Source organism: Homo sapiens, chromosome 2 (genome assembly GCF_000001405.40).
Source record: "Homo sapiens chromosome 2, GRCh38.p14 Primary Assembly".
Taxonomy (NCBI): domain Eukaryota; kingdom Metazoa; phylum Chordata; class Mammalia; order Primates; family Hominidae; genus Homo; species Homo sapiens.
In genome coordinates this window covers 115,414,425-115,439,764 of record NC_000002.12, presented here as the reverse complement: position 1 = coordinate 115,439,764, position 25,340 = coordinate 115,414,425, and the positions used below count along the sequence as shown (strand labels likewise).

The 25,340-nt window shown below is 36.0% G+C and overlaps 1 protein-coding gene across 24 annotated transcripts in view, besides 1 other annotated feature; it reads right to left on the bottom strand.

Annotated features, from left to right (window-relative positions):
* DPP10 (dipeptidyl peptidase like 10) overlaps positions 1 to 25,340 on the bottom strand; it is a 1,403,140-nt gene that overhangs the window by 406,016 nt on the left and 971,784 nt on the right.
* Positions 11,648 to 12,302: an enhancer, noted in NCBI's record as "OCT4-NANOG-H3K27ac hESC enhancer chr2:116185039-116185693 (GRCh37/hg19 assembly coordinates)". NCBI's record gives its function as "activates a minimal SCP1, AML or CMV promoter by ChIP-STARR-seq in naive H9 embryonic stem cells {active_cell/tissue: H9 hESC(naive)}" and the evidence as "EXISTENCE:reporter gene assay evidence [ECO:0000049][PMID:30033119]".

Sequence of the window (25,340 nt, the reverse complement as noted above, 5' to 3'; positions counted from 1 at the left end):
AACAGCTATCTGAATAAATACATGTGTGGTAATTTCGATTTTCTTTAAGGATAAGAGATAAGAATTTTATTTGTTTCTAACCACTGCCACATAGGAGATCACAATTTGGGGAAGCTGCATTATAATTCTTCAGCTCCAAATAACCTACTATCCATCTTCTCGTAGAAATAAAACAGCATGTATTCCAATTTAGCAAAAATTTCTGAAATTCTATTTTGTAAGTTGTTTTCTGTGGTTACGTTTGTCAAGATTAAAATATTCTATTTTTGTTGTGATAAAATATATGTAACATAAAATGATCATTTTAACCATTTTTAAGTGTACAGTTCAGTGGTGTTAAGGGTTTTCACACTGCAGTGCAAACATCATCACTGTTATGTCCTGACACGTTTCATCATTCCAGACTGAAATTTCGTACTCATTAAATAATAACTTCACATTATTCCGTCTCCCCAGACCATCTTAGCCACTATTCCACACTGTGCTCCCATGACCATCTTAGCCACTATTCCACACTGTGCTCCCATGACCATCTTAGCCACTATTCCACACTGTGCTCCCATGACCATCTTAGCCACTATTCCACACTGTGCTCCCATGACCATCTTAGCCACTATTCCACACTGTGCTTCCATGACCATCTTAGCCACTATTCCACACTGTGCTTCCATGACCATCTTAGCCGCTATTCCACACTGTGCTTCCATGACCATCTTAGCCACTATTCCACACTGTGCTTCCATGACCATCTTAGCCACTATTCCACACTGTGCTTCCATGACCATCTTAGCCACTATTCCACACTGTGCTTCCATGACCATCTTAGCCACTATTCCACACTGTGCTTCCATGACCATCTTAGCCACTATTCCACACTGTGCTTCCATGACCATCATAGCCACTATTCCACACTGTGCTTCCATGACCATCTTAGCCACTATTCCACACTGTGCTTCCATGACCATCTTAGCCACTATTCCACATTGTGCTTCCATGACCATCTTAGCCACTATTCCACATTGTGCTTCCATGACCATCTTAGCCACTATTCTACATTGTGCTTCCATGAATTGACTGTGTTAGGTACATAGTGTTAGTGGAATCATACTGTTTGTCCATTTGTGTCTGCTTTATTTCACTTAGCATAATGATTTTAGGATTCATCTATGGGATAGCATGTGTCAGAATTTCCTTCCTCTTTAAGGCTAAATAATATTTTATTGCATGTATATACCACATTTTGTTTTTCTATTCATCCATCAATAAACATCTGAGTTGTTTCTACTTTTCGGGGAGTGGGGGGCTACTGAGAGTAATGTTGGTATAATAATTGGCACGCAAGTATATGTACAAGTCTTTGTTTTCCATTCTTTTGAGTATATACCTAGCATACATAGCAGTGGCATTTCTTTATCATGTAGTTATTCTATGCAAACTTTTTTGAGGAAGCACCATTTCTTCCGCAGCAGCAATGCACAAAGATTCCAATTAATTTCTCCACATCCTTGTTAACACTTGTTATTTTTGTTGTTGTTGCAATATTTTTTTCATGACAGCCATTCTAATGAATGTGAAGTGGTGTCTCATTGTGGTTTTGATTTGCATTTTCCTAATGGTTAGTGATGTTTAACATCTTTTCACGTGCTTACTCTCACCATTTTTTAATCATGGTTTTTGTTTAATTTGAGATTTCATCCACGTTAACAGGCCCATCTCTCATTTTTTTCAGCTTGAATCCCTAGTCATATGAAGAAACTTATGATTATTTTCAATATACAAAGCAGATACAACTTTTTCTCCTGAAGTACTTGAATGTGAGCTGTTTGGCAATATGTGGCACATAAAATGAATTTAATAAAATGAGACATATGTTACAAAAGAAATTATATTGTTTGAATAAAAATTTAGACACAACAAAACGTTGTATCATTTTTGCTCATTTTTGGTGACAGCTCTTACAATACCACCAAGGTAGTCATTTATCACTTTCAAAATTCACACCTATTTTCTACTAGATGAACATAAATGTTTAGTCATATTCTTAATATAATCACACACTGTACTGTAAACTGTTGTTTAGTCCATGATTAAGGTAAAGGGACATTGGATTATGAATATTTCAGTTGCCACCTGTTTTCCTATCCAGCATCGTTTTTCAATTTTCAAAGCACCACATATACGTTTATCTGTGAAACTGTCATAAATAACTTAGATAATACTAAAGTTGAGCTTATCAACCTGAAGATCATTGAGTAACACACTTAACTTAAACCACTTCTAGCAAGTTCCTCTTTTAATCATTTTCACTCCACTTCATCCTCATAGACTCCTTTTCGGAATCTGTGTAGTGATTTGAATGGCATGAGATGAGATGGAGCACTGGGTCAATTTCAATCCTCTCTATAAAGTTAGAAATAGGCAAATATATTTCTTCTCTAATGCTGAAAACTTACGTAAGAGGTTACAATCAAAGGGTGATTTGTATGTATAAAAAAGGTTGCCCCTTGAGCTATCCACTAGAAGAGAGTTAATTCAGTAGAAATCTCCTTGCTGGTATTAGGGAATGTCTTCACCCTATTATCCATTATTTTGAATTAATTCAAACATCTTTTCCATGAAATCATGTAAGAGGCCAGATTAGAGGATTTTGGAAGTCTCTTACGACTCTAAAATGCTGCATTCCTTTGGTGTGTAATTATCAATAAATGACACTGATTTAACGTCACATAGTCAGGTGATTACTTACCGATATGAGACTATATGCTTCTTTTTGAGAAATATTGTATCTTATACTTTGTGAAATTGCAGTATCTTACATACTGTTAGACCACAATTTTGAATTTACTATTGGTAGGCTAGAATATTAATTATTATTGGGGTAGAATAAATTATTAATTAAAGATGGTTCAGTTTAAAATGCCTCATATATATATCCCAATTTCTACCTCAAAATACAGTTGTACACATAAACTGAATGATCTTAAAGAACCAGAAAAAGAAAATTTCAAATTAGACCAATAGCTTTCCATATTTTTTAAACTCCCAAGTGTTTGTTCCTGTCCTATTTTTCATTATTGTTGTTTTTCAATACCCACCCTATTCTCTGTAACATCCAGCATCATACCTTGCCAAGATTCTAAATGGGCCTCAATAAATAATGTTTAAAAGTGGTTGATTGATTATGTCTAATATTTGAGTTCTAATGAGTGTGCTTAAGAATCCAATGAACAAAAATCAGGTACTTTCTAAGTGAGACCTATACCCTAACACTTACCTCAATATTTTAATCTTTAAATTATGTCATTTAAGTATTTCAGTATAACACTTCTCAGTTGTCTTTAATACCTGATAATTAAAAAAAAAATCTTTTTGCAATGTGCTTGTCTCTAGATTTAAAAGAGTTAATGATATCCCAAATCCTAAACTCTTACAATTAAATTTGTAGAGACAAATTAAACCAAATTTTATCTATTGCACTTAGTTTATATGAGATGACAAACACAGAGGTAAGAACATGGTATATGTTCAACATGTCACTATTTGTAGAATGATCACTTCTTAATCAAGATCACAAAGATTTTTGTAACTATTCCATACCCAATACATTATTTTGCATTGCAATAGACTTTTATTGATATCTCTGAAAAACATTTTTCACCCTTTTGACCTAACATTTCCACTATTAACAGAGTTGTTTTGTAAAACAAAGAATGATATTACCACTCCCAATAACATCTGTCCAAATGCTTTTACTCACAGAAAAATTAAAAGTTTGTCCACTAGACAGGTGCCAAGAACATGCATTGGAAAAAGGACAGGCTCCTTAATAAATGGTGCTGGGAAAATGAGATATACATATGCAGAAGAATGAAACTTGACCCCTATCTCTCACCATATACAAAATCAACTTAACGTGGATTGTAGACTTAAATGTAAGACATGAACATATGAAACTACTAGAAGAAAACACTGGGGAAATTCTTCAGGACATTAATCTGGGCAAAGATTTTTTGTGTAAGATAGGCAACAAAAGCAAAGCAACATAGACAAATGGGATTAAATCAAGCCAAAAAGCTTCTGCAGAGCAAAGGAAACAAATCAACAAAGTAAAGAGCCAGCCAACAGAATTTGATAATATTTGCAAATTATCCAAACAATAAGGCATTAATAATCAGAATATATAAGGAACTCAAACAACTCAATAGCAAAAAAAATCAATAATAATCCAATTAAAAATTGGCAAAGGACCCGAACAGACATTTCTCAAAAGAAGACATAAAGATGGTCAACAGGCATATGAAAAAATGTTGAACATCACTAATCATCAGGGAAATTAGAATCAAACCACAATGAGACACCATCTCATCACAGTTAAAAGAGCTGTTATCAAATAGACAAAAATTATGAATGGTAACGAGGATGTGGAGAAAGGGTAACTCTCGCACACTGTTGCACACTGTTGGTGGGAATGTAAATTAGTACAGCCACTATGAAAAACAAGCAATATAGTGTTCCTTCCCCAGAAAACTAAAAATAAAACTACCATATTATTCAATCTCGCTGCTGGGTACACAGCCTAAGAAAGGAAATCAGCATGTTGAAGAGATATCTGCACTCTTAGGTTTATTACAGCACTATACACAATAGCCAATATATGGAATAACAGATGAATGAATACAGAAATGTGATACATATATATATATATATATATATGTGTGCATGTGTATAGAAATATTAGTCAGCCATAAAAAGAATAAAATCTTGTCATTTGCAGAAACATGGATGGAACTAGAAGCCATTATGTTAAGTGAAATTAACTAATCTCATAAGGACAAATATTGCATTTTATCACTCATGTGGAAGCTAAAAAAGTGGATTTCATGGAGATAGAGGGTAGAATGGTGGTTATCAGAGGCTGGGAAGGGTATTGGGGAGGGAGGGATGAAGAGAAGTTGGTTAATGGTTACAAAAATGCGGACAGAAGGAATAAGTTCTAGTGATTGACAGTATAGTAGGTGGATGATAATTAACATTTTAAAAATATATTTCAAAGAAGCAAGAAGAGAAGAACTGAAACGTTCCCAACACCAAGAAAAGATACAAGCTTGAGGTGATAAATATCCCAATTACTCTAATTGGAGCATTAAATCTTATATACATGCATCAAACTATCACACGTACCTCCAAAATATGTACCACATTATGGATCAGCAAAAAAATGAAAATTATTTTTTTTAAAAAAGAAGAGTTTGTCAGTGCTTCCATTTGCTCCAATCTATGCTGTGCATGCATTTATTATTACATCTGTTACCCTATTTTGCCTGCACTGGCAGTTTCTCAAGGATATGGAAACAATTTGATTCATCCAAGTATTGCCAGGACCCAATTCAATGTGTGAAAAGCAAGTGTTCAGTCAACTACGTTTAATAAAAAAAGGACACAATTTACCTGGCCATGATATCAGCCAGTGTTTCAAATGGTTGGTAATGAAGATTGAACTAATTTATCAAATTCTCAATTATAAATTAACAACATGATCTAAAACTAAAATTATCCAGAAAATTTCGTACCACAGCATCTTTTTGCCCTATTTAATTTAGTTTTTGTTGATTTGCTTTGCTGTCTAATGTGTAAATTATACTACCACCATTACTCATATATGTATAGTAATTGATATTTTTCAGAAGCCCTTAATATTACTACCTGAGCCTATCTCTGGGTCAAATTGAGCAGAAAACTATTACCAAAGTATAAATAAAGCAATCCACAGTGTACAGAAGTTATTTATTTAAAGATAAATAGATAATGACTGTTAGAGAAGACCAGAATTCAAGTCTCCAGAAGTGTAGGAAATCTCATAAAACAAAAATTTGAATTTGGATTTGAGCATGGTAATCGTGATATCTGATTGACACATGAAGAATGAATCTTATTGAATAAATTTCAATAAAAAGCTCATTTAGCTAACTTCATTACAGAAAACATCAGCCCTGTTGTCTCAAAAGTTTAAGGAAATAAATGGAGTTTTTAAAAAACTCCAGGAGAAAAATACTGAGTGTATTCAATTTGTGCACCCCTGAGGGTAGTTCTAGTGTAGAGAGCAGCCATATGTGAGCCTGATGTTCTATTTTTAAAGTGAAATCAAGAGAGTGTTAAACATTTAGTGAATGTGAATTCTAACTAGAAAAAAAAACTGTGTCACACAGAGAATGGTATCTTGCTTATGAGATTAATTACATCATGAGAACAGAATATTTTGTTTAGGTCTAGGTATGCCTTTGATTTTATATGTATATGCACACACACACATGTACATGTATTTATACATTTACACACACGGAAACACACATACACACAAATAGCTAAAGTAGCCCTGCCTGAATATAGAATTATTAAGATAATAGAAATTAATGAAATCAATGAAAAGCTCTTCAATGGTTTTTAATTGACTGTAAATATATAGAACACCCACCTAAATCACAATCCATAATATTGATTGTATCTATACATTGCTAAAGCAGTGGCATGAAAATGAAAAATGCCCTTCTTTCATAGCCCATGAAACATTTATAAAAATTGTTACATTACGAGAAAGGGAAAATAACACTAATAAAAAAAATACACAGACTGAATTCTCTAGCTATGACTGTTAACCCAATAATGATGTGGGCTCTCAAGCACGAGAGCAAATACGGTCTCCAATCCTTACTGTCTGACAGAAAATAGAGTCCCTTTTCTCAGGGCAGGGAGAGTTGGAGATTCTGCTCTGTTTGGTTTAGATGACAAGGCACTTGGATCACTATATCATGAAGGATGAGGTATGCCATCAATCTGGACCATAACTAGTTGCACGATTTCTCAATCTTGGCACTACTGACATTTTGGACCAAATAATTATTTGTTAAGGGACGGCTTTCCTGTGCATAGAAGACGTTCAGCAGCATTTGTAGTCTCTACCCACTCAATGCAGTAGCTCTCCCATATCTGTGACAATCAATAATATCTCATTGTTTCATGCCTGCTGAAAGGGAACATTGCCCCATTGATAACCACTGAGCTAAAAGACACACACACACACACACACACACACACACACACACACACAAAATTGCCTATGGCTTTTAAACAAGGATCTCTCAAAAGTAATTCAAAATATTTCAGGTTAACAAAATTGAACTTGAATTAACCAATCATTTTGTGTATCAATAACAATCTATAGTATAACAGAAGGAAATGGTCCCTTTACATGATCATTTCTAATTCCTTAATGTCACAGATGAGAAAACTAAAACCCACCTTATTAGGAATGGCTTTCCTAAAGTCCCTCATATAGCTAGACAGTAGCAAAACAAGCAGAACCAATGAGAGCAAAACCAACTCTTTCTATTCATGAATATCTCCCACATTTGAAATCTTTACTTTTAAGAAGTATTTCCTAAAATAAATTGCATCGTCTTTCTTTCAGATTTTCGCCAAGCTCATAATAGCTTAAATAAAGTACGAGTCAACATGTTGAGGTCTGTCATGAATAGCATTCCTGCTAACACTATTAAGTGTATTTATCCACAGACTTGATGTTTTCTAAGGAAGGTGACTAATAGATAACAATAAGTCCCAGGGTAGAAAAAAGGAAAACAAATGTTAACTATATAATTTGAAATCCCTTTTCTGGGTTAATTCTGTTTGGTTTGCTTTTCTATCTGGAGTATGGGTAATTTATAGAGCTTAACTTACGATGTTTAATGGCATCATTTTTATCACTATACAGTATACAGATTTCCCGTTTCCCTTGGAAAGCAGCTTATTTGCCTTATTATCAATAATTCTGATGTAATTCTAACAAAATTCCAAATCCCACTTTAAAGATATCTTGCAGAAATGAAGATTCAGAACACTAGTGTTCAAAATGTAGTTCACATGACTATTTAGGCAGATGCAAGTGCCTGCTTGTTCTACTTTTAAATTCAGATCTACAAGGAGTGAAGGGACAATATTGGGCCAAGAATGGAGGGATGATATCCAAAGGGTGTGCATTCGGGGCAAGCTGGGTCACAAACACAAGAAAAGTGATTCGGTTAGACCCCTGAAGTGTTAGAGACCAGCACTGAATATGATTAGCACAATGGAGAGTCCAAGAGGGCTAGCGGAGATGTGAGAAATTCTTTTAGATTCTCATTCCTAAAGCTCTAAAGAGTGGTGCTTTTTTGTCAATTCCCACTCAGAGATCATTGGCTTTAGGCAGAATGCTGTAGGTAGTGCTATCTCTACACCACTGCAGTATCAGAATTCATGCTTGCAGTCCATGTTTATTTTTTCCCTCATCTGCATCCTGACCTAGTAATATGCAAGAGTTTCTGTTGGGATTCCTGACTGCATGATATGGTTATCTTACCCCATGGGCACCAACATTTTATCCCTCGGTCCTTTCACTTCGTCGTCTACTCCTTGTTACTCAAACCGATGCTCAGGTAACAGTACTTGCTTGTTTCTCCATGACCTCCTTACAGTCATGGACTTGTCCTCCAGACTCTCAAAAAGCCTCTCATGACTGTTTTCAATCTTTAGATCTCTGGTCAGGACAAACTGCCTCATATTTATCACAGAATTCCTGGATCCCTTCGCTTTCGCGAGCTATATTAGTTCATGAAGAATCACAGGGCACTGTCATGAATAATAACCCTGGGTCTCTATGTTGATATCATCTGATTTTTATTCTCTTAAGAAGCTAGTATCATATCTGTTTAACCAACCTAATATAATGTGTCTGGCAGAGTACTGCATGCAGATTGGATCTTAATAAATGAGGAGGGAAATTTATGTCACCTTACTCCAATATGATTCATTTAAGATTTCAGAGTAACTGCCCTCTCCAAGAAAAAAAGAAGTGTTCCCATTTAAGTCCTACTTGTCAAATACTATGAATGTAGGAGTCGAGTGAGCAGTAAAACACAGAGCAATTTGCTCATCTACCATTTTATGGACGCGGGCAATGTGCTGTCTTTATTAAAGTCAAATATGAAAAGAACATCATTCTTGAAAAAGTACTGCCCAAGGCTTTTCGGGTAGAAAATTCAATACAAAGCAAAAACCTGAGATTATCAATTTAGCTGTTTCTTTATACGTGTTGTAAAAGGAGGAATATTTTCTAATTTTTCTCCTGAAATATATTAAATTGTTTGTTTGTATTACCTGATCTACTTTATTTCTGGTACATAGCTGAATTCCACAAATACTTGAATACTTTGACGGACAAAGACATTAAAAATCTATCGAGATGTAAAGGAGCCTCAATGTTACTATTATCCACTGTTTTAAATGTTAAATCTCATTTTTCTCTATGATACATTCACAGATAAACTTGTTTTTATGTTTCTGTGCTTCATAATGTTACATTATGAAGATTAATTTCATATTCATTAATTATTGAATAAGAATTAAGGAAAGTCCAACGGTGGATCTGGCAGCATTGTAGCAATCTTAGAATTGTCTAGTCCAGGAACATTTCCAATATTTGAGCACTGACCTTGTATTCATTCAGTTAAAGCTAAATATTAATAGCAAACATCAATTTGTGTGACAATTAATTTCATCAATCATCTGCTCATTAAAAAATCTTAAATCGGTTCCAAATCCACTCCATCTAACTTCAAACTACAGTTCCTAGTTTATTAATTCATTTAATTTATTTCCCAACTAGTGGTTTCAGGTATTTGCAAAAGAATACCACGCAGAACCTGTGTCCCTGCTCTTTTTCCAAGGCCTCCAAAACGAACTGCTTTCTTTTAGCGCTTGTCATAAAAAGTGTCTTTCCACTTCCAGTCACACTCCTCTAAACACGCTCCAGGTTGCTCATATACATTTTTAGATGATGAAAACAAGAAGTGAACATTCTACTATAGGCGTTACTTTTTCAACAGAGTGTGAAAACCCCAAGTGTCATTCAAGATTCTGTATGACTGCTAATAAGTATTTGTCCCATATCTACCTTACCTTGTCAACATTTCCAACTTAATTGTTGCCTCTTCTGAGAAGTTTATGTTTCCCTGTGTTTTACTGACAAAGTGAACCAAACGAAGGTTCTAGACAAGATTACATGCTGGGGAAGGGACATATAAGCCATTCACTTAGTTAATGTTTATTTTAATTGTAAAATATGCATGAGATTTTTAAAGTCCTGAGGACACTGTGGGTATTGTGTCTAGAATACATCAATTAGCTTTTATTATTAAGCACATAAAATAAATCTGTCTTCTTTTGAGCTCTTCTTACATGCCAGACATAATGGAATCTCATTTTTGGACATAATGTTATATATTTTTAAACCTCATTACCACTCTGTTTTAAGATCACATATTGCCTTGTCATTTATTTTTTCCAAACATTTTATTTATGCTAGCTTGTTGAATTTTACATAGCCTTGTGAGCCTCCTTTCTCACACAAGGAGTATATTAATAAATAAAATGCAGTTTAAACATTACAGTAGCCTCCAAATAAGAAAAGCAGATGCACGTATACAATTTTTAATTTTTTTTAATATATTTTAAAACTAGTAAGAAAAGCTTAGGAAAAAAAAATTCCTTAAATGTATAAAGCAAAAAACTACAAAATGCCCTCCTTTATTTATTAAAATTTTATTCACTAAAATAATTACGGTTAAAGTTTATCATTTCTATTTCTTTTTTCGGTGTTTCTTTTTTTCTCCCTTCTGTACATTTCTTCACTCCTTTTTGCTTTTCCCTTTACTTTTCTTATGTCGCTACCTGATATAATCTGAATATTTGTTGCTGCCCAAATCTCATCTAGAAATGTAATCACTGTAAAAAGTAAAGTAGAGGTTCCTCTTCAAAGAGACTTTCCTCTCCATCTAAATATAAGGTCCGATTCAGCCAATAAAAACTGGACACAGAAGTAGAGTGGATGGATCAGGTTATAAATAACCCAGTCTCCTTTGTTCAATATACTCTCATGGCAAAACTGCTGGCGAGTGTATCCTTTCTGCAGAAAGTCTAAAAATGGCCTTGCTGAGGAAGTTAAATTTATGTTCAAGTGCTATTTCTTTACGGCACTGGGAAACGAGCATTTCTAACATCACCAACGTTGGAGGCGGGGCCTGGTAGGAGGGGCTTTGGTCATCTGAATGGTTTCCTCATGGCTTGGTGCTGTCGTTGCAAGATCTGGTTGTTTAAAAGTGTGTGGCACCTCCCCTACCTCTCTTACCCCTGAACCCCTCATCTCACCATGTGTGTGCAAGCTCCTGCTTCACCTTCTGCCATGAGTAAAAGCTGCCTGAGGCCTCCCCAGAAGCCAAGCAAACGCAAGCACTATGCTTGTACAACCTGTAGAACCAAGAGCCAAGTAAACCTATTTTCTTTATAAATTACTCGGTCTAAGGTATTTCTAATAGCAAAGCAAGAACAGCCCAATACAGAAAATTGGTACCAAGGCATAGGGCATTGTTATAAAAATAGCTGAAAATGTGGAAACAGCTTTGGAATTGGTTAATGGGCTGAGGCTGGAACAGTGTGGAGGGTTCAGAAGAAGACAGGAAGATGAGGGAAAGTTTAGAACTTCTTAAAGACTGCTTAAATAGTTGTGACCAAAATTCTGATAGTGATATGGACAGTGAAGTCCAGGCTGCTGAGGTTTCAGATGGAAATGAGGAACTTGTTGGAAACTGGAGCAAATGTCATGTGTGTTATCCCTCAGCAAACATCTTGGCTGGATTCTGTTCATGCCCTAAGGATCTGTGGAAGTTTGAACTTCAGAGAGATGATTTAGGGTATCTGGCAGAAGAAATTTCTAAGCAGCATAGCATTCAAGAAGTTGTCTGGCTGCTTCTAACAGCCAGCTTCAAATGCAGGAACAAAGAAATGACTTAAATTTGGAAGTTATATTTAAAAGAGAAGCAGAGCATAAAAATTTGGAAAATGTGCAGCCTGGCTGTGGGGTAGAAACAAAAAGCCCATTTTTAGGAGAAGAATTCAAGTAGGTTGTGCAGCAATCATTTACTAAAGAAATTTGCATAACTAAAAGGGAGTCAAGTGCTAATAGCCAAGACAATGAGAAAAAGGCCTCCAAGGCATTCAGAGATCTTCTAGGCAGCCCCTCCCATCAGAGGCCCAGGGGGACTGAATGGTTTTGGTGGTATGGGAATAGGCCCAGAGTGCTACTGCCCAGTGTTACCTCAGGAGGCTCCTCCTATCATAATGGCTGCTGTGGTTCCAGTCACTGCTCAGAGGCCTCACAGTACAGCTTGGGCCACTCCAGAGAGCATAAGCCACCATAAGCCTTGGTGGTTTCCACGTAGTGTTAAGCCTGTAGGCATGCACCCTGCGAGAGTGAAGGTTTGGCAACCTCACCCTAGATTTCAAAGAAAGTATGAGAGAGGCTGGGTTACCAGGCAAAAGCCTGCTTTAGGGGCAGAGCCCTCACAGAGAAACTCTACCAGGGTAGTGCTATGGGGAAATGCGGGGTTGGAACTCCCACACAGAGTCCCAGCTGGGACATTGCCTAGTGGAGCTGTGGGAAGGGAGCCACCATCTTCCACACTCCAGACGGGTGGTGCCAACAGCAGCTTGAAACTTCAGTGCGGAAAAGACACAGGAGCAGAGCTGCCCAAAGCCCTGGGAGCCCACCCCTTGCAGCTGTGTGCCCTGTATGTGGGACATTTCATCAAAGGAGTGTATTTTGGAGCTTTAAGACTTAATGACTACCCTGCTGTGTTTTGAACTTGCATGGGGCCTGCAGCCCCTTTCTTTTGGCTGATTTCTCCATTTGGGAATGGGAATGTTTACCAAATTCCTATAACCTCATTGTATCTTGTAAGTAAATAAGTTAATTTTTATTCTACAAGTTTATAGGTGGAAAAGACTTGCCTTGTCTCAGATGAGATTTTAAACTTTGGACTTTTGAATTAACTCTTGAGTGAGTTAAGACTTTGGGGGACTATTGGGAAGGCATGATTGTATTTAACAATGTGAGAAGCATAAGAATTTTGTGGGGGCCAAGGGCAGAATGATGTAGTTTGGATGTTTGACCCCACTCAAATCTCATGTTGAAATGTCATCTCGTGTTGGAAGTGGCACCTGGTGAAAATCTCATGTTGAAATGTCATCTCCAGCGTCGGAGGTGGCACCTGGTGAGAATCTCATGTTGAAATGTCATCTCCAGCGTCAGAGGTGGCACCTGGTGAGAATCTCATGTTGAAATGTCATCTCCAGCGTCGGAGGTGGCACCTGGTGAGAATCTCATGTTGAAATGTCATCTCCAGCGTCGGAGGTGGCACCTGGTGAGAATCTCATGTTGAAATGTCATCTCCAGCGTCGGAGGTGGCACCTGGTGAGAATCTCATGTTGAAATGTCATCTCCAGCGTCGGAGTGGCACCTGGTGAGAGTCTCATGTTGAAATGTCATCTCCAGCGTCGGAGGTGGCACCTGGTGAGAATCTCATGTTGAAATGTCATCTCCAGCGTCGGAGGTGGCACCTGGTGAGAATCTCATGTTGAAATGTCATCTCCAGCGTCGGAGGTGGCACCTGGTGAGAATCTCATGTTGAAATGTCATCTCCAGCGTCGGAGGTGGCACCTGGTGAGAATCTCATGTTGAAATGTCATCTCCAGCGTCGGAGGTGGCACCTGGTGAGAATCTCATGTTGAAATGTCATCTCCAGCGTCGGAGGTGGCACCTGGTGAGAATCTCATGTTGAAATGTCATCTCCAGTGTCGGAGGTGGCACCTGGTAAGAGGTGTTTGGGTCATGGAGGCAGATCCCTCATTAGTTCAGTGCTGCCCTCATGGTATTAAGTCAGTTCTCACGAGATTTAGTTGTTTGGTATATGTGGCGCCTTCCCCTTTCTTCCTTGCTCTTGCTTTTCCCATGTGACATGGCTCCTCCCCTTTCACCTCCTGCCATGAGTAAAAGCTCCCTGAGGCCTCCTCAGAAGCTGAGCAGATGCCCGTGCTATGCTTGTACACTCTGCAGATCCATAAGCCAATTAAACCATTTTATTTATAAATTTCCCAGTCTCAGGTATTTCTTTATAGCAATGCAAAAATGGCCAAATACACTATCAATTACTGAATCAACCACTTATCTATCTTTTTAAAAGGGAAATGAAAAATGGTTGAGTTAATTTTCAACATATACTACATGTGCTTCATTTAGGTGGAATAGTGTTCTATTATAAAGAGTTACCTAATTTTTTAGTTTCAATTTATGCTCATTGTAAATAATTCTATAATAAATACTGTTATGAATATACCTCTGAGAATGAGCAATTTTGAAGGCTAGGTTACTAGAAATGTCATTGCTAGTGAAAAGGTAAGTACCTTAGAATTACATTAGAAACTATAATATTAGATCCTTCCCTCCCCTCACAAAACAGCAGCAACAAAAACAACGTAAAAATTATACTTTAGCAGAGTACACAATAGTACTTAGTTGAAAGTAAGCATTTGTAAGCAAATTCAAAATCATTTTTAATGCCTAGATACGTTTCTAGAATTGTCTAGCATCCATCTATCCAACTACCCCTTGCCACCTCATGCAAGTTGGCAAACCCATAACTCCTCTCTGGAAAACAGTCAATTAGATTATTAAATAAACCCTTTTAGGGGCCAGCACCTCTACCCAATTGCAGTTTCTGCTAGAGCCCCTCATTCATCTCTGCCTTTTTCCTTTTTATGAACTTGTTCACTGATTAATTCCACAGAAAGCTATCTGCATTTCAGAGGCACTATCTTCATTCTCCACTCATTCCCCAACGATTCTACTTCTCTCTTCCATTCAGATGAAGATGCTCATGTTTTACCTTTCAGGGATGTTAGACAAGGTAGAGTACCCATTAGTGCAGACTCAACACAATCCCTTTCTACAGACGATTAATCATAATCTATTAGTCAGAATCTCAAATCACTTAAATTGATCTTAGGAATAAATAATATGCCTTTTATCTTAGTGACTGGTACCAATGAAGTAAAGGTGAGGTCTTAAATATTAGATGTATCAGCTACCTATGTTCCATCATTTAAACACATTTTTAATCATCCCATTGTACAAGTGAGTGTGCATATGCATTTTAAGGTTCTCAATTTTAATTTATATTTATCCTTATCTATATATATTTTAAAAATACACCCTCCTAGACAAAAGAAATATAAAACTGAGGCAAACAAGAAGTAACAAAGTGACTACAAAGCAATAATTGGATTCAACAGACTTCTAGGAGCCATGTCAATAGTTTCTCTTTATTTTTTTAAAAAATTTGACTTCTTTTTTTTTGTTTTCCTATCTGCTGATAATTTATCTTGACAGTACACTAAGGCAGAATAATCTGTGGCAAAATTAATAACATTTTAGAAAATAATAAAATTAAATGTTTGAAAGTCATTAGGATACATTCTAATCCAATCATTATTTTATAATAAAAAAGTTCTGTACATTAGTAAGTATTTTCAGGAAAAATAGTAAGTTCTGGCTTAATGCAAAAACTACTGCCATACAAAGCTTATATTTTACATATAATAATGCTACTTTAAAAAAATATTGAGAAGTAAAAACATTTGGTTACACTTGGAACTGTTTTTAACAATACTGGATGCTGACTCTTTTGGTTGTCTTTGTAAGGGGTATTTCTTGTCATAATGTCTTATTACTTGATTAGCTATGGTTCTGACCAGGTTGGAGGAAAGTTATATAGAGTCCAACAGAGACTGTGGCTCCATAGATTCCAACAACAATTCTGGTAAAATGCTGAATGATCAGATCCTGAAGACAATCTTCCCTGGAAAGTGCTGGTATTTGATAGTTGTACCTGAGGAGTTTGGCATAACCATGAATGCAATTTATAGATTTTCTCCTTATAAAATCAGCTTTTGCCAAAGATAAACCCATAAAAGTTAAGAATAGAAAAAAAATAGCAAATAGAACAGACACTATGTAAGGTATTCTTGCTGATGAAGACAGTCATACTCAAACCAAACAACTGTAGCTTTCAAATACTGTGTTTCAATTAGTATCAGACAACAGTCCCACAAGGTACTATTGATTCACTGTACATTGAGACATTATGATATTTTTGTCATTAAATGCTCCTTTTATAATCTATGATGTCCAGGGTCTAAGTAAAAATTTTCTTAACTCATTTTAGGACATCCTTTTTCTTAGTTTCCTCTGCTACTGTCCCAGGCAAAGCCGTTCTTTTTGTCATTTGTTAGTTCTTTCCTCAGCAGAAATTTTCCACAGACAGAAACAGCTCTCTCTATATACAAAGAAAACATTCACTTAAAAGATCTGACTATGTTTTATTCACACATATCATATAAAACATGGCTTTGTCATTAGAATTTTAAATTAGCATTTAAAATATCTTCTTATGCTACTTCCTTAAATAATAGTTATCTAATAAGAATATGTACCATACAGCGTCTCTGTTCAATAGTCTTTCTAGCCACATTTGGCTTTGAGTACTTCAGATGTGGCTAGTGTAAACTGAAATATCTGTAAGCAAAGATTATAAACCTCTTTTAAAGAAGACAAAATAAATCATGGGTCATTCTTATATATTCGTTACATGATGAAAAGTTAACATTTATATTTGGTTAACTAGATTATTTTATTAAAATTAAGTATACTTCTTTTACATTAAATATATTAAATATGTTATATTAAATGTTTATATCACATTAAAATTATTTTCCTGTTTTATTTTTTCAATGTTGCCACTAGACTATTTAAATGTCATATTCACATTTGTGGTTCACAGTATATTTCAGTTGGACAGTGACGCTTTAGAGAAAATGCAGCTAAGATAATTCAAGACTATGGCCAGACTTTGTAAGGAAGTCACATTTGAAGGGATTTCATTTCACTGAGGGATAAAATGAAATCCCTTCGAATGTGAATCCCTTATGTAGATATTAAAAAGTTTTCCATATGTGTAAATGAATCTGAGCAAAACCTCAAAACACTGAGAAACTCATGGGGACATGGACAAATTTATATAGTTTTATTTCATCCTTAAATTAACCCACAATATCTGAACTGACATTATTGGATATTATTTTTTTCTCTTTGTTCTCAATTCAACTTTATTTAAAGGACTAAAATCATATTTTAATAAAGTAAATTGGAAATATAAAATGTGATTATTCAATGAAATATATCAAGTTATTCTTTTATTTGCAAGGACAGAATGAAAGTCATGGGCAAACAAAATCTATGGGTAGAACTTTCATCATTTGCAATTTCAGCCTTCCAATAATCTTTGCTTATCTTGAGTAAATAATTTTGTCTTTTGCTCAGCCAAAGAATGATGCATGTTCTTGTCACAAAGAGATATGCTACTGGCATAGCCACACAGACTTCTTACCTAAACTGTCAAGCTAAGAAAATGCCCAGATAGAAATAACTTCTAAAACTTCCCAGGTTGAAACAAACAGCTAATACTAAAAATGTATTCTTGGAGAGAAAAAAACTAATTCAAACTCCAGAGTTCTATGTTGCCTTTGCTATAAATATCGGTATAACAATTTATGACATTAGGAAGTTTCCATTCTGCCTCTCACAGTGAATGATCCTTGGGAGGACTGATTTCACTTCACAGTAACAGAACTCATTAAACAGCTTTGCATCAACAATTTTCCCTCTCGAATCCATTTGAGTTTGTTAAAGAATCTCCCATAGTGGCTTGCCGTGGAGCAGTCACTTTTCATCTTCTACAGGAATCAAACCTAGTGAGTTGTAGTACCTATTTATATTACATTGTCTATTAAGGGCATTTGAGAGGTGGGGGTGCTGCTTTTAAACTTGTTTAGAGACAGAAGGAAAGTTTCAAATAGAAAATAGTTCCCAAATTTGACATCCTTGCTTTTTTTTTTTTTTTTTTTTTTTTTTTTGAGATGGAGTCTTGCTCTGTCGCCAGGCTGGAGTGCAGTGGAGCAATCTCGGCTCACTGCAACCTCTGCTTCCCGGGTTCAAGCGATTCTCCTGCCTCAGCCTCCTGAGTAGCTGAGACTAAAGGCTCATGCCACCACTGCCAGTTAATTTTTGTACATTTAGTAGAGACAGGGTTTCACCATGTTAGCCAGGATGGTCTCAATCTCTTGACTTCGTGATCCGCCTGCCTCGGCTTCTCAAAGTGCTGGAGTTACAGGCATGAGCCACTGCACCTGGCCTCATTTTTATAGGTATAAAAAATATTACGAATTTATATTTCATTTAGTCCCTCATGGAATTCCTTCCTGTTTTTATACTATTTTCCTAAGTCTAATAGATACAAATTAATATAAATAAACTGATGTTGCAGAAGATCATTTTCAGGTTTGACACTCCAGGAATATATGCAGGTAGAAAGTTCTTAGCAGTAAGAACATGGTTAGAATTTTTTAATTTGCTGAGCATACATTTATTTGTTTCCACCTATTTTCCATTCATAGTTCCACAGTATATTTACAACCACTGAACATGGCAGCTGAGGAAGATTTTATAATATTAAACAATTCATATTACTCATATATTTGTATATTTCTGGACCTAGACATACCATGTGTGAAGGGTAATACCAATTATTTACACTGGCATATAGTTTGACACTGAACATATGGTAGAGATTTAATATATAATTGGTGAATTAAAAGCAATTGAGAAAGGTGGGGAAAAAGAGAAGTAAAAAAAAAAAAATAGGGCCACTACACTACAGGGTAGAAAGGTTGCCTTCTGGAATAGAGGCTGCAGCAGCCCTGTGTTTGCATTGCTTCCAATTTCAGGGAGAAAGATTACGAAATATATCTTATAACAATAAAATTACGTATTTCTAGATTCTATCCCCATCTACTCTAGTGAAATCCTGCTGTCTTCTGAGTTATTTCTTAGTCATTGGATATTTTTCTGAGTATCTGATATTTTCCTCTGTGTTCTTAGGTATTCGATATTTTCCCCCATCTTCTACTCTGGTCCTTCTACTGTTGTCTTCCCAGGAAGTTCCTGCTGCCACAGAGTTGTTTGTTAATGTGTCTTAAAAATCATGGCTGCCAGGGATCCCCAGAAAGGAGCCAAGGCTACTCTTCTTTTGATCACAGATGAGATTTATGTCTCAAGGGAGATCTCCATCATTACCAGTCTTTGTTTTCAGAAGCTGCTGGTTACCTCATTCTTGATTAACAGAAGCTATAACCATATTATATTTTTAGGATCACTCATTGTGCCCGAGCAACATGATGTCTTATGCCAAATGAGAGAATAATATTTCATTTTTACTAAACTGTTTGACACAATCCAGCAGCATAGTTTTTGAGCCATAAATCTGAAGCTATCTATAGTGAAAATAGCTCTTTCTCTCTGTTATACATGGACTCTAATCCATAATGGATAAATTGATTTTGTTTTAGCCATCTCTTTCTCCTTCCTGCAAGCATGCTTGTTTATACCAGTAGTAAGACACACATTAAGGGGAAAATAAATTAAAAAGTTCTCATCAGGCCTTGTGTCTACTCCATTTGTACCACCTCATCCTTTGTCCAAAGGTCTGTACTATACTGTAAGACATTAAATAGTGATTATCAAAGTGATACTCTGATACTCAGATGTAGAGCCTCTCAGGAACTCCAGATGGAGAATGCATGATCAGCAGGACAGGATTTGGGTTAACCAAGTTCTGGACCGAAATATTTCATAAAAATTTCAAAGCCTCATCTTTACCTCTAATAATTTACGTTTGGCATTTTATATAAAGTGCATTAACCAGAATCAAAAATACTTCCATAACACATTTTTTCCCTCAGTTAAGGATAATGTAAGTCATCTACAGATATATACAATTGCAAGGGGAAAGTTCCAGAACCACAAGAGGTAAAGATTCAACCAATTCCCACATTATTAATATACTACTTAAATAAGTAGTGCCCTATTTCTAATTTTAAATATCACCAGGAGACATTTTAATGGTTTTAGATATTTTTAAAATATATTTTAGTTCTTTCTTTTCTGTAGCATTCAAGCAGCATACACAGTTTTGGGGTAAAATTGATTCATCTTATTTAAGTCATCAGGAATAGAGAGATATCACCTATTTTTAAAGAAGTGTTTGAAAACTTACTTTAATAAATTGGGCACTGTGCTAAATTGGGTAAAGCATTTGATACTGGTTGGATATTTTGTCCCCTCCAAGTCTCATGTTGAAATGTGATCCCCAGTGTTGGAGGTGGGGCTTTGTGGGAGGTGTTTGGGTCATGAATGGCTTGGTGCCTTCCCTGCAGTAAAGAGTAAAGAGTGAGTCCTCCCCTCTACTAGCTCATTAGAAATCAGGTTATAAAATAATCTTGGACCTCCCTCCCCTCTCTCTCTTGCTGTCTCTCTTGCTGTATGACATGCCTGCTCCCCTTTTCCTTCTGCCATGACTGAAAACTTTCTGAGACTTCACCAGATGCAGATACTGACACCATGCTTCTTGTACAGTCTGCGGAACCAGGAGCCAAGGCTTCACTGACATCTGTGTTCTGATGAATCCAAGAATGTATGTCTCTTGCCTGGATTCCTCTCTTGATATTTAGATGTGTGTATTTAACAGGCTATTTGAAATTTTATCTTAGATGTCTAGTAGGCATCCAAAACTTACTATGCTGTGATGGTCAATTTACATGTCCACTTAGCTAGGTTATGGCATCCAGTTGTTTGGTCAAACACTAGATGTTGCTGTAAAGGTACTTTTTAGATGTCATTAACATTTCAATCAGTAGACTTTGGTAAAAACAAATTACCCTTCATATTGTTTGTAGACTTCATACAATCATTAGAAGGCCTTAATACAAAAGACTGAGGTTCACTGAAGAGGAGTGAATATTGCCCCCAGACTGCCTTCAGACTACAAAATGAACTCTTGTCAGAATTTCCAACCTGTTGGCCTGCTTTGTAAATTTTATTTTATTCTTTATTTTTTAATTGTTTATGCTTTTTAGTTTTTTAAATTAATTAATTAATTATTTTTTCTGTGTGTGTGAGACAGGATCTCACTCTGTCACCCAGGCTGGAATGCAGTGTTTGTGATCAGAGCTCACTGCAGCCTCAACCTCCTGGGCTCAAGTGATCCTCCTTCCTCAGACTCCCAAGTAGCTGGGACCACAGACACACACCACCATGCCCAGCTAATTAAAAAAAAATAAATATGAGATGAGGTCTTGCTGTGTTGCCTAGACTGGCCCTGAGCTCCTGGGCTCAAGCAATCCTCCTGCCTCAGCTTCCCAAAGTGCTAGAATTACAGATGTGAGCCAATGTACCTGGCTTGCTCTGCAAATTTTAGATTTGTTCATCCTAACAAACCCTTAAGCCATTTTTTAAAACAGTCTCTCTCTCTCTCAGTCTCTCACTCTTCACTCTCTTTCTCCACCTTTCACTACTTCTCTCACTGCGTATCTACCCTATTGGTTCTACTTATCTGAAGAACCCTGATTAATACATACAGCAATAAATAAATTCTCGACCTTTCTTCAAAACTTGCTCCTCCCAGGCCTTCCACATCTTAGTAGGTAATACATTCTCCTTTTTAGCTGGCCAGACCAAAAACAATGACAATCAAAAAATGAGTCATCCTTGAATCCTCTGTTTCTCTTGCACACATCACATCCAATCTATCAAGAAATGCTCTCAACTCTACCTTTGAAATGATTTACATTCTGACTACCTCTCTTCACACTACTGACTTTCAGCTGGATTTCTGAAGTTGATTTCTTACATAAACCTTAGCTCTGTAAGATATATTTAGCTTAACCTCAAAGCCAACTCACACATATTGGGGAAGACAATTGAAGAATTCCCATTAGGGCAACAATGCCCATTGCTACAACTATTATTCTGGAGGTAATGATCTACACATGTAGATAAGAGAAATACATCAGACGGAGAAAAGTTCAAAGGTAGTGGTATAAAAATAGACCAATGGCATGACCGCACACTTGGAAAAGACAAATGTTTTAACTGAAAAATTAACATAAACTACCATGAGCACAGCATAGGAGAAGAAGTGAGGTATCATAAATTCATAGGCAGCATACAGTTGAAAAGACTAAGACTAAGGCACCTGGAACCAGGCTATCTAGATTGATCTAGGCTTTGACACTTACCAGCTGTGATTTTGGAAAAACTTGGTCTCCTTTTGCCTCTTTTTTTCTTATATCTAAAGCGGGGTGACATACATACCTACATCATAGCACTGTAATAAGAATCAAAAGTTAGTATGTGTTAAGTTCTGGGACTACTGCTTTGGTATAAAATAGTTTACTATGATAACTATGTTGTTATTATAACATTTATTGTTAATGTTGAATTATTACCAACATGTATATAAGATAACCCCCTTCTAAACTGCAAATTATTTTCTAATTTCCTCCAAATTGAGTTTTTTCCTCATCCCTCCAGTAACAATATCCTTTAGAAAGAAGTCGACATCATTTTCTAAGAGCTAAAAGAGGTGATATTTTTTACATTATTTGGGGGGTTTCCATTCAGTGACTTTGTGTGTTTTCTATTGGTACCTTGGCAACTTGTAATATACAACACATAGTAATTAATATTGGAAGAACTGCTTCTATATTGGGGAGCTCTGGTACATCTGTAACAAGGGCCATTTAACTTCAAAAATATATACCTGAATCTAACATCCATTCTTCATGAAAAGTCTAACAGTAAGATCATATCAGTCTTATATGCCAGGCATGAATAGAAATAACAGAATTTGACTCCCTATATATGAGTTACAGAACACATCTCTGAAATATTATAAAATAAAAAGACCCACAGGATATCACCAGGCAGCGATAACACAGCTAGGGGTATGCTCGCTTCTGGCACTGTCCCTTGACTTGAGCGGTCTTCTCAGGTCTGAATTCTATTAATCTTCTCAGAAATTTCAATCTCTTTATATAAACTGCTATTTTTGAAACTGGAACGCAGCCTCATAACTGGTCTGACTCCCACAAAAACCTTTGAGTTCTCAGTGTGCAGAAATGGTTTCTTATGTTTATCTCTTGTGAGATCAGAACCAGCGAAATGCTTGTCACATGAAAAGTGCACAAATAAATTGTGATTTAATTGATTTCTTGTTTAATTAATCGATTAATGGAATATTGAGTATCTGAATATCTAAGGAAGATTTTCCTAGCTCCTCCTCTTCAGTATAAGCTTAATTTAGTAGTTAAGAACTTGATACCGGGAATGGAAAAGACAGATAAATCCTACAGAATAGATGGCCTAGGGTTTTGCAGAATGGACTAATAATTTTTCATGCACCTGCTTTGGCTAGACTTAGTCATGCTGTCAATATTGCTTATCCACCTGCATTAACTACCTACAGAGGCAGCTATAAATTTATAGCTGAGTCATTTCTACTTGAAAGAGGAATCAAACCTGTATTAGCAACTGATCAAAATATAGGAAGGAATACTCTGACTAACCCTTCTGTGAAATCCCAAAGTATACTCAATGTCACACCAGGAAACCAATAAGTGTGGATTTGCTTTTGCTTTTTATCAACCTTGAATCTACCTTGTTACTTACCTGTGTGACTTGGCTAAGAAAAATGTCTGCTTGACAGCCATTGGGGTGGCCATTCCATGACAACATATTCTGCAGTGCATCTTAATTGCAAACAGCAAAATATAATTTCAAGTATTGAAGGACACCCTGTAGTCTAATTACCTCAGTATTCTGAGAAGATAGAGTAACCAAAAATGACTTCAAGTTTACTGTTTTGCTTTCAAATTTGTGTACTGATTATTTTTGGAGTTCTACAAAAGAAATAGTGCAATTCCAAAATTAGATTACTACATAAAAAATTTCATGTAAATATTCTCAAATATTTTGCCCATTAAAATAAATATGAATGTATGTGTGTGTGTGCATATATATATATATATATATATATATATATATATAAAAGCAAATCAGGTATAAAGACAGATCTATCTACATAATCTGATTTATTTTTCCACTGATATAAAGCCAAGAATCGTAGTTTTACATATACATATGTAAATTCCACTTATGGCAGGCATGCATATATGTCCTCCAAATGGCAAGTACAAAAACAGGCAAAATCCTCATTTTATACATCAGTACAAAATTAAAGGAAGGTCATATATTTGAGAACTGCAGTTGATAGAAATCTTGGTAAAGAGAAGTGCAATTAAGTTTCTAACCTTGTGCACTTGGCAAGCTTTCCCGTATCCAACTTTTGGCATTGAGCCCTTAATGGACCTTTTAATTAACAGAGACCTTGTTACTTCCCATTTTCAGTTTACCTATGACCATATACAAAAGGATGGACTTCAGAGGCTATCTCTGTAGAAACAACTATTGATATAGGATTGATGCACATGGGCATGAATGCATACTTGTGATAGATACAGAAGCAGCTGTGAGTGGAAATGTCTGGTCTGTAATGGGGCCAGAAATTTTCCAGCACGGCTAGGACTTGAACTGATCATATAGGCAGGCACCAAAACCAAATAATCATAAACAATGAAACTGGCCAAAGCGCAGCCAGATAAACGGGTGCTGAGACAGAATGATACTAAGCAGAAAGAAAGATTGAGACCAGTTAGGAAGGCAAGAGGAGAAATTTGAGCAGAATCAAATACTTATCTTACCAGGAAAACCACCTAGTAAGGGTAAAATCACAATAGGATCACAGTTTGCAGCATAAGTGATAGTTAAAGAACAGAATAAGGCACAAGTAAGGCTAAGATCTAAGATAATGACGAAGCCTTCAGATGGCTCAAATTTAATCTCGGCAATAGCACTTTAGAGAGATCTCTCTGCATCTTAACAAATATGGTTTCTCCGTGGAAATTGAGATATTGGGGTCAACAGTAGTGCTTACTTACCTTCCAAGCCTTTTCCTGGAGATAGTATACCATCTTGAGACTTGACTTGCAAATAGTGGCTCTGCAGTTGGCTTTTGATGCATGAATTGTCCAAAGTATTCCAGAGATCAGCATTTTCCCTTTGGATTTTTCTTTTTTTGCTTGGATTTTGTAAATATTCAGAAAGGCAAAGCTAATTTCACATTACTTTCTTTGGACAAATCTTGGCAGAGTGCCCAGTACAACTTCAGATATTACTCAATTCCGTTTGATGGTACATACATATCACGCTCAAAATGTTTCAAAAATGAGTGCTATTTGATGGTGCACATTAGTCTAAAAAAATACATATCAGTTTCATAAAAATATACACTGTAGAAATAAAAGCTTGTCTGAAAACACATAATAGACTTCTCTGATATATTTTACATCATGTATTTGTATTCATTTAAATAGTATTAATTGATTTCCTACTATGTGTCAAAAAC